This window comes from Homo sapiens, chromosome 8 (assembly GCF_000001405.40).
Source record: "Homo sapiens chromosome 8, GRCh38.p14 Primary Assembly".
NCBI classification, from domain to species: domain Eukaryota; kingdom Metazoa; phylum Chordata; class Mammalia; order Primates; family Hominidae; genus Homo; species Homo sapiens.
Window position 1 is genome coordinate 140,045,229 of NC_000008.11, and position 11,053 is coordinate 140,056,281.

Below are 11,053 nucleotides of genomic sequence, written 5' to 3' on the forward strand. Positions count from 1 at the left end.
CCTCTGCGCTTCAGCTTCCTTGCGTACACGAAGCGAGGATGGTGGCACATCTGCCTGCTGCGGGCTGTGAGCATTAAATGAGCACAAGGACCTTGGGTTTAACAAACCCAAGTCCGGCCAGGTGCGGTGGCTCATGCCTGTAATCCCAGCACTTTGGGAGACCGAGGCGGGTGGATCACCTGAGGTCAGGAGTTAGAGACCATCCTGGCCAACATGGTGTAAACCCCAACTCTATTAAAAACACAAAAATTAGCTGGGTGTGGCGGCACGCACCTGTAGTCCCAGCTACTCGGGAAGGTGAGGCAGGAGAATCACTTGAATCTGGGAGGCGGAGGTTGTAGCGACCTGAGATCGCGCCACTGCACTCCAGCCTGGGAGACAGAGCAAGACTCCATCTCGGCAGAAAAAAAAAAAAAAAAAAAAAAAAAAAACCAAGTCAGGTCCTTTGCTTCTGCTTGGAGAACACTATACATCCTAAGGAAGATGACGGTGGCTGCTCAGGTCTTCTGGGGAGATGAAACCCACAGTGTCCAAGGAGGACACGCCCAGCTCAGCCTCGAGGTGGCAGAGTCCCAGATCAATTACATTCCCTTATTCATCCTTTCACCAAATGGTGGTTCTGAGTCAATACCATTTTATGTAACTAAGAAAAACGAAAAGCAGTTATCACCAAGACTACAGTTTGAAGTTAGTTAATATTCTAGCAGCACTGGCTTTCCATAAATCAGCTGTCCTCTCAAAAGAATGGTGGGATTTTAACCAGAAGAAAAAGGAATCTGGAGACTCTTTTTTTAATGTGGGACTGGATCTAGATGGGAGGATGGGACTCCTGTGACACAGCAAGCCACCCTTCTCCCTGAGGAACACCTGGATAAGAGCTGAGGGGTCTTGCCCAAGGAGACTGGCGTCCCCCGCCTTGCACTAGCACTGTGCTGAGCGGTCTTGCCGCTCTCCGGTGGTGCTTGGCACGGTCCACGGTGCAATAGAGCTCTTCCCAGGAAGTTGGATGCTCCGTGTGTTGTCCCAGGTCTTCGCCGACGGCTATGAAACCTTTTCTCTCCTCTGTGAGACAGGGCAACAATGCCTTCTTGGCAAGGAAAGGCAAGGAGCCCAGTGTGGCTACAGCTCAGGCTTTATAGCAGGAAAGAGAGCTGGATGGACAGGGCGGGCAGGCCAAGGGGCCTTCGCCCCAGACTCCCCACAGCCGCCGACTCCCTCCCTTTCCTTGCGCCTTCCTCCCTGTCTCCAGCAGCTTCTGTCACGCTGGCTAGAAGGTAGGAGGTTCCAAAAGGAGCCCCTGCTGTCCACAGCCTGGGAAGACTTCTGCAATGTTTCTCCTCCAGAAAATGGTTCCCAGAGCATTCTTGGATGCCTATCTTACAGGCTTTGTGCTTTGGTGGACATGAGCCCTGCTACATCCAAGAAAGTGCAGTCATCTTGCACTTTCTAAATAATACAGCATGAAGAAAAGGACCCAGAATTTATTCTTCAATGCCCCATACCCCTTTTCTAAATTAGAATTGCCCCATATTTTATAATTGCCCTAAATTATAAATGTTAGTAATTGGCCCTTCATCCTAAGATGTAAACTAAGATCTGGGTTCATATCTTAGCTCCACAAGCAACCAACCTGGGCACATTATTTCACTCTCTGGAACTCAACTTTTCTTCATCTGTAAAATGGGACAGATATTCCTTATTCTGTAGGCCTGTTCTGAGAAATAGAAACGTGTACAGAAAAAGCCTAGAAAGGTTCCCGTGGCACCTACAATAAACTGCTCTTGTTCCTTTCTGTGGAAGCTCTTCTGTGACCAGCTGTCTGTGAGGTGTCCTGGAAGGGAGGCCTGCAGCTCCCCAGAGATTCTAGCCCAACCCTGCCTGGGCCCCGCCAGCCTCTCCCGGCACAGCCTCACAGCAGGCATGTTGGAGGAGCTAAATATAGCTCCTCAGACTCCAGGGCGGATGGTCACCCGCCCGGGCTGTGCCTCCTTCCACATCACACACGCGCACGCACAAAACACATGCTCCTCGGCGGAGGCCCCTTTCAGAAACACGCATGCAGAAGCTCAGTCAATCCACCTGCAGTGCACGGGGGACAGCTCGCATTTCGGTATGCTAAGAATAGTCCGGGTTGCGCTAAGAGCCCGAATGCGAAGGGTATGGAAGTCGTTCTCTGCGGAGGCCCCGCTGGCACCGGAGAGCCAGGCATGGCAGCCCACAGGGTGAAAGGCGGGTCCCCAGGGGCCAGAGGAGAGGCTGAGAGAATGGAGAAGAAAACGAGTGACTGCCTCGGGATATAGGGAAGAAAACACATCGCGCATGAAGAAGGGGACAAGAGTGGGCTGGCTGGGCCCAGCGGCCGCTGCTCAGCTCTGCCTGCTTCTCTGCAGGCTGTGTGAGAGCAGACACAGCCACAGCCTCTGCTGAAGGACAACATGGAGAACAACAGCAACAACAACACCCAGTTGGTGCTGAGGGGCTGGGTGCCAGCCCCGAGTTCCGGTGTGCTGGAGCATTCTTTACAGCAGACATGGGACATGAGCCCGGGCTGGCTGGCTCTACCACCACCCTTAGCAGAAAGCCAGATCAGACTCCAACCAGACTCCAGTGCACACACCACTTTCCATGACCCAGCAGAGGTCGGGGCAGAAGTGGAGGGCGAGGTCAGGAGACAAAGGGCCACCAGGGGCCAGGCCACAAGCTGCCAGCAAGGCAGGGTCCAGCCATAGCCACAGGCCCCAGCCAGAGCTCAAACAAGGACGCATGTGCAGCACTGGCTGGGCCAGCTGCATCTTCACAAATGGCCCAGCAGAAGCTGGGCTGGCCAGAAGCCCCTCTGATAGGCAGACTCTCTAAAGTCCCCTCCTGGAAATGCCATCTTTGGAGATGGACACAATTGGCTTGTCCATGCCAGCTCTGCACTAACAGCTGTGGGTCCCTGAGCATGCCTATCTCCTTGTCTAGAAGATGAGGCAGCCAACCACTGTGGCTTCACAAGGCTGTTGTAAGGACAGTGCCTGGCATATGCAACGTGTCCAATCAATTGTCATAAACAGGATAATGACAATGATGACAATGACTCCACCTTGTACAGGGTAACACTCAGATGGCATAAAGACAATCTTACTGGAAGCTCTGGAAGAAACAAATACTAACTCTTTAAGGGCCCACCTCTTGGGAGGAAGAGTAGGAAAGTCGGGGTGAGGGCAACATTTCTGGACAATAGCCCTATGCCAGGTGCCAGGCCAGGATCATGAGAGCGAGTTTAGGCTCATGTAATCCTTGCAGCCATCCATGAAGTGGAGACCAAGAGCTCCATGGAACAGACAAGCAGAGCAAGGCTCAGAAAGGCCAGGAGCTATAGCTTGGGTGCGGAGGGACAGGGTTTTCATCTAACTGAAGCCCCAAACACAAATTCTAACTCTCAAGTCTCAATGCTCTTCCCAGAGTGGGAGACTGAGGTTTAGGGAGCTGAAGTGACTCACCCAAAGTCACAAAGCTAGTGGAGGTGCGGGGTCCAGCGTGAAGGGAGGGCACCCGTGAGCCCAGGACCCCCTCTCCCGCATGAATAGCAGGCCCAGGGCTGCTCTTACTTGCTTCCTGTCACCCATCCCCTGCTCCCCTACTCCCAGCTCCAACCAGTTCGTCAGTACCACCCCTCTAGTCGAAGGCAGGAATCAGGTGTCATTAATCTTTATACCCTCGGTGCCCGGAACACAGCAGAAATTCCAGAAATGTTTACCAAAAGGAAACACGAGAAGCTGAGGCGGAAGGAAGGCGGGCCTGCAGGGGTGGTTACAGACCAAACCCAAGGCACACAGCACACCAGAGGCCCACAGCAACATCTGATTCCCCGCGATGACGGAACTGGCCCCATCCCTTTCATCTCATAGCTAGGGGACTCTCTTGCTATATAGATATGGAAACAGAAACTCATACAGGTAAAGTAAACCCCCACGTTCGCAGGACCTACTGAGGGCAGGGCCAGAACAAAAGCCCATGCTGGGGCCTGCGGGCCCAGAGTTGGTCCTATGGCATGAGGCTCCTAAAACTTTTGGCAAGGAGAGTCATGCCATCTGACTTAAAAATATAAATGCTCCCTTCCGGGCCGAAGTGGAAAATCAATAAGCTGCAACCCAGGCTTACTCTTTGCCAGAGGAAGGGGAGAGCTCCAAGGTTCCTGCTATTGTACCCGGGCTCCTGTTCCTTCACTAGGGACCTGCGGAAGGCACACTGTGGACACTGCGGGAAGAGCCGGCCCTCGGTGATGTGTTCTGCCCACCTCTCATCAAGCATGAAGATAAATCCTACAGGGCTCCCCCCCCCGAGACCACCAAATTATTTCCCTGGCAACCAGGGAAGTGAATAGAAGGTTATGTATCCCTCCCATTTGCTCGTCGGTCTTTGAAACTCATATACAGCTGAAAGGGGAAGGTCACAGGGACCCCCTGTCCAAACACCAAACCCTGGGATTTCCTTGAGGCTGGAAATGAAAGCGGATCTCTGAGCAGCCTTCCTGAGCGTCTGTATCCCACAGGGCAGGCACTGTGTGAGGTTTTGTGGAAGGTCTCCCGCCGAGTCCTCAAGATCATTCTGTGAGGTGCGAGCTTTATTCCTCATTGTAGGGATCAGAAAACTTGTCCAAGATCAAGTGGGAAAGGCTCCTTCAATTCCACCACAACTCAGTCCCCAAACTGGATGGCCATTGAGCAGATAGTGTGTAACTGTTGCCTACACGCCAAATGACACATGCAGGTGTGAGCGGTGACTGTCAGGCAGGCCACTGGGGTGTGTAACACCAGGGGCATGAGTACAGCGTGGGGGCAACAGGGCTAAGCCACTGAGTGTACAAGGGACACCTGGGGACCCATGTTGATAGTGGGGCCACCAGATCTGAGGTCAGCCATGAGCTAGCGAGAGGATTCGGCAATGGAGGCCTTTGGTTTTCACACTGGGCAGCTCAGGCGTAAAGCCTCCAGTGCTTCATGAGTCATCAAAGCCAATGAAGAAGTCCTTGGCAGAGGATTCATTTGAACTTCCCTTTAACACTTCAGCTGTGGGGAGTCTGGCATGAAATATGCGCATTAGCTACTCTCCAACTGGAGAATGCAGAATTAACGTCTGTGGAAAACCTACATGCTGAGCGATGTGCACACACCATCTCATGCGGTTCTCACAACAATTTCCCACTTTGCAAATCAGGGGACTGAAGCTCAGAGAAGTATCATGTTGTGCCTCTACCAGGTGAGATGCCCAACCCCAACTCCCACCCCAGGTCCTCCCTCAGTGCCCCCACCCCATAAACAGAATTCCCTCTGACACTGCATGCACCAGCCTCCATGACTCTCTGGGTCTCATGGTCCCCTGACGGAGGCACACGGGACTCAGGACACCCTTCCTCATCCCCAGCACCTCCACCCGGGGCACAGGAAATGCTCATGAAATGTCTATGGAGGAAGAGAGATGGGAGATGGAGAGATGGGGGCTGGGGAGGGAAGAAGGGGGGAAGTAATGAGTCACCAGCCTGGGGTCCCACCTGGAAACACCAGATGGGAACAACCCACCGACAACCCCAGGAGGGAAACAATGGCATCCAGCTTCCAGGGCACACACACTGGGGGGCCACACAGCCCTGCACAGGGGGAAGGGCACCTGCACGTGGCCTTCTTTCTCAGCTGGGCATCTTGGCACTCTCAGGTTCTTCTGGACATTGTCTTCCACGCTGAAGGAACGGAAGTCACCGAAACAGTCCTTGATGGCTATTTTAGACCTTCAACTGCCATTAAGACACAATCTCGTACAGAGAGGGTTTGTGGCCATTCCGTACAAGGAATTAACAAGTATGATGAGCTCCCACTACAGATAGCATCCTTAAAGGAATGAGTCATCAGAGACCACCAGATGTTAGCAAGAGAGAAGTGCCTTCATTCCTGCACACTCCTCCCTCCCTCATGCCCATTAGAAGACCTGAAGGGGCGGTGGAGCCTTTAAAATCAGGGCCACAGGGCCAATGAGACCTCCTCCATGAGCACCATGACCTCAGTGAGCACTGTGGGACCTGCCAGGATGGACAGAGCAGCTCCACACTGGGATCTGAACCCCGGGGGTTCCTGTAAGCCCTGCACCGTTGGTCGGTCATTTTTCACATGGGTGTATCTGAACCCTCAACCCTGGATTCAGAAGCCTTAATCGCCACAGGTTTCTCAATTGCTTGCAGCAAGCATCTGAGGGGTCCCTCTCCCTTTCCTGACACAGAAGATGAGGAGGCAAGGGTGCTGCATACACCTGCAAGAAACAGGCTTCCTCCTCCCACCCCATGGCACCCACACAGGAAAACATTGTTCATTCTTTTTTTTTTTTTTTTTTTTTTTGCCTTTGAGAACATAAAGCAAATAGCAAATACAAAGCACATTCTTAGGAAATGGAAAAATTTGTTCTCTAGAGATTTATAGTAAATGGTCTATAAAGGACATTGATAATTATTTAAGGATGCATCGTAAGGACGGCTGCTCCCCCACGTAGGACAAAGGGAGTATTTGTAGTCCTGGATCCCTGTGGGTAAGAATATGTGGAGAGGACTAATGAGAAGAGCAGACATCTAGACTCATTAGTAGTGATTCAGTAGTTTTCACTCTCCTGTAAGATCACAGCAGGAGTTTAACTGTGTTTCCAATCCAAATGCATCCACTGTATTTCTTTCCATTGTATGCAGGGTAATAGACCCATGAAAGGGAAGAGGAAGACTGCAGAGAAGAAAACGTTCTCCCCCACTTGCAGCTTCTCTCCAGCACCAGTAGTTAAGAAAGATGGAGCATCAGGGGCCGGCCAGGTGACCACCAGAGGAGGAAGGCAGAGCAGGCAAAGCACAAGGCATGGCAAAGAGGGGTGCGGCCTTCTGCATTCCAGGGTTTATAATGCTAATTCAAAATTACCACAGCAAATAAAGAACATCCAGAGGTATCTCATCACACGGTATTCTCCAAAACAACAACAACAACAACAACAACAACAACAACAACACAGAAACTGCAGTCCTTTCTCTTAATTGGATGTAAATGCAAGGAAACCTTCTCTTTAAAAGTAAGTCTGGAATAATTTCAGCCACAAAATAAATAATGATAGTAATGGCCGGGCATGAGGGCTCATGCCTATAATCCCAGCACTTTGAGAGGCTGAGGTGGGAGGATCACATGAGTCCAAGAATTTGAGACCAGCCTGGGCAATATGGCAAGAACCCATCTCTACAAAAAATTATTTAAAAACTTAGTCAGGGCTGGGTGTGGTGGCTCATGCCTGTAATCCCAGCACTTTGGGAGGCCAAGGTGGGCAGATCACTTGAGGTCAGGAGTTTGAGACCAGCCTGGCCAACATGGTGAAACCCTGTCTCTAGTAGAAATATAAAAATTAGCCGGGTGTGGTGGCACACATCTGTAATCCCAGCTACTCAGGAGGCTGAGGCAGGAGAATTGCTTGAACCCGGGAAGCAGAGGTTGCAGTGAGCAAAGATCGCACCACTGCACTCCAGCCTGAGTGACACAGCAAGACTCCGTCTCAAAAAAAAAAAAAAATTTAGTCAGGCATGGTGGCATACACCTGTGGTCCCAGCTACCGGAGAGGCTGGGATAGGAGAATCTCTTGAGCTCTGGAGGTCAAGACTGCAGTGAGCCGTGGTTGAACCACTGCACTCCAGCCTGAGTGACAAAGTGAGACCCTGTCTCAAAATAAATAAAAAATGATAGGAGTGGATTCAAATCCATTAAATAAAACAAATACCCATGACCCCCAACTGACACTACTAAGTAAAGGGGAGGAAAAAGAGACATCTCTTTCCTACAGAATTCCCACAAATGAATGTAGGAGGAATTATGGAAATAGAAAAGTCACCATTTGGCAAACACATAATCATTGAAGGTAAGAATCATCACAGGATTCGTGAGAGAAAGGACGATGAGACAGAACATTTACTTAGTCTCAAAGCTCCTCCCACAGACATTCATTAAACACAGAGGAAAACTTTTTAGTGGAGCAGCCTGGCAGACACCACCTGACCACTGTGACCAAAGCTACCAGCACCAGGATGAGGCTGACCCAATTGTTGTCCAGGAGTGTGCTGCCTAATTGGCACACATTTGTGAATTTTCCAGTTTTCCTTGTACAACTGATTTTTAGCTTTATTCTACTGGGTTGGAGAAGATACTTGGTACAATTTCAGTCTTTTTAAATTTGGTAAGACTTACTTTGTGACCCAATGTGTGATCTCTCCTGGAAAATGTTCTGTCTGCACTTGAGAAAAATGTATAATCTGCCACTGTTGGGTGGGATGTTCTGTGTAGATCTGTTAGGAACATTTGGTCTATAGTGTTGTTCAAGTCAACTGATTTCCTTCCTCATTTTCTGTCTGGATGTTATCCATTCTTGAAAGTGGGGTATTGAAGTCTTCTCCTGTTACTGTGTTGCTGTCTTTTTCTCCCTTTAGTCAGTGTTTGCTTTACATTTAGGTGCTGTGATGTTGGGTGCGTACATACTGATAACCGTTACATCTTCCTGTTGAATCAACCATTTTATCATTATACAATGGCCTTCTTTGTCTTATGGCAGTGTTTGCCTTCATGTTTATTTTGTCTATCAAAGACACTTGTACTCATATGCTTATTGCAGCACTATTCACATTAGCAAAGTTACGAAATCAACCTAGATGCCCATCAACAGTGGACTGCATAAAGAAAGTGTGGTCCATATACACCATGGAATACTATGCAGCCATAGCAAAGAACAAAATCATGCCCTTTGCTACAACATGGATGTAGCTGGAGGCCACTATGCTAAGTGAATTAACACAGAAACAGAAAATCAAATACTCTATGTTTTCACTTAAAAGTGGAAGCTAAATAATGGCTACACACAGACATAAAGATGGAAACAAGAGACACTGAGGACTCCAAAAGTGGGGAGGTCAAGGGAAGGTCTGAAAATCTACCTGTTGGGTACTATGTTGACCATTTGGGTTATGGGTTCCACAGAAGCCCAAACCCCAACATCATGCAATACATCCATGTGACAAACCTGCACATGTATCTCCTGAATCTAAAATTTTGTTTCAAACGAAATCAAAAAGGAAATTTCAAAAATATCTTCAGACAAACAAAAACAAAAAAACAACATACCAAAACCTATGGGATGCAGGAAAGCAGTACTAAGAGAGAAGTCTGTGGCAATAAACACCTGTAATAAAAAAGAAAACTTCAAATCCACAACCTATCTCTACACCTTGAGGAATGAGAAAAAAACAAACTATGCCCAACATCAGCACAAGGAAGACAATAATAGATTAGAGCAAAAATAAATGAAATAGAGAATACAAAAATGATTTTAAAAAACAACTAAATTTTTAGAAAAGCTAAAATTGACAAGCCTTTAGTGGGACTAAAAAACGAAGAAGAAAAGATGACTCAAATAAATAATATCAGAAATGAAAGAGGAGACATTACAATCAATGCCACAGAAATCTGAAAAATCATTAGAAGATGACTATGAACCATTACACAACAACAAATTGAATAACCTATGAGAAATGGCTACATCGTAAAAAAAAAACACAAAACCTACCAAGACTGAATCACAAAGAAATAGAAAACCTCAACAGAATCACAACTAGTAAGATGACGGAATTAGTAATCAAAAATTTCCCAGCAAAGGAAATTCCAGGACCAGATGGCTTCACTGGTGAATTCTGTCAAACATTTAAAGAATTAATTCCAATCCTTCTCAACTCTTCCAAAAAGCTGAAGAGGAGGGAACACTTCCAAACAAATTTTAGGAGGCCAGCATTATCCTAATCCCAAAGCTAGACAAGAACCTTATTAAAAACTACAGGCTAATAACCCTGATTAACATGGACGCAAAAATCACCAATAAAATATAGAAAATCAAATTCAACAACACATTAACTAAGTGAGATTTATCTCTGGATGCAAGGAAGGGTCAGCACAGGAAATCAATCAATGTGGCTCTACCACATTAACAAAATAAAGGGCAAAATCACAGGATCACCTGCACTGATGCAGCAAAAGCCTATGAGAAAATTCAACACCCTTTCATAACAAAAACTCTCAACGAGCCAGGAATGGGAAGAAATTACCTCGATAAAATACAAACCATATCTGAAAAGCCCACAGCTAATATCACACTCCATGGTAAAAAAAACTGAAGGCTTTTCCTCTAATATCAGGAATGAAGCAAGGATGACCACTCTTGCCACTTCTATTCAACACAGTAGTGGAAGTCCCAACCAGAACAATTAGGAGGAAAAGCAAACAAATAAAAGGCATCCAAATCAGAAGAGATGTAAAATTATTTCTGCAGATGACATGATCTTATATCCAGAAAACATTACTCTACAAGCTATCAGAACTGCTAAACAAATATCAGCAAAGTTACAGGATGCAACATACAAACATTAGTTACACTTCTAAACACTAACAATGAACTATCAGAAAAAGAAATTAAGGAAACAAATTCACTTATAATAACATAATAACATCAAAAATACTAAGGAATAAACTTAACCAAGGAGGTGAAAGACTTGTACATTGAAAACTACAAAATATCGATGAACAAAATTAAAGATACAAATGAATACAAGGACATCTCGTATTCATAGATTGAAAAAATTAATATTGTTAAAATAGCTATACTACTCAAAGCAATCCACAGATGTAATCTCCATCTAAACAAAGGCTTTTTTTTAACAAAATTACAGAAAAACCTTAAAATTCATATGGAACCATTATGAACCCAGAACAGCCAAAACCATCTTGAAAAACCAAAATAAAGCTGGAGGCATCCACTTTCTGATTAAAAAATGTATTGCAAAGCTATAGTAATTAAAACAGCATGGTAGCCAGGCACAGTGACTCATGCCTGGAATCCCAGCACTTTGGGAGTCTGAGGCAGAAGGATCACTTGAGCCCAGGAGTTTGAGACCAGCATGGGCAACACAGAGAGGCCCCATCTCTACAGAAAGAAAAAAAAAATTGCCAGGTGTAGTGGTGTG

General features: G+C 47.1%; 1 protein-coding gene across 15 annotated transcripts in view, besides 1 other annotated feature; it reads right to left on the reverse strand.

Moving 5' to 3' along the window:
* Positions 1-11,053, reverse strand: part of TRAPPC9 (trafficking protein particle complex subunit 9) — a 730,855-nt gene that overhangs the window by 317,504 nt on the left and 402,298 nt on the right. The window lies entirely within an intron of this gene.
* Positions 2,824-3,049: a silencer, noted in NCBI's record as "fragment chr8:141058150-141058375 (GRCh37/hg19 assembly coordinates)". NCBI's record gives its function as "represses an EF-1alpha promoter that drives an FKBP-Casp9 reporter gene in an ReSE screen in HepG2 liver carcinoma cells {active_cell/tissue: HepG2}" and the evidence as "EXISTENCE:reporter gene assay evidence [ECO:0000049][PMID:32094911]".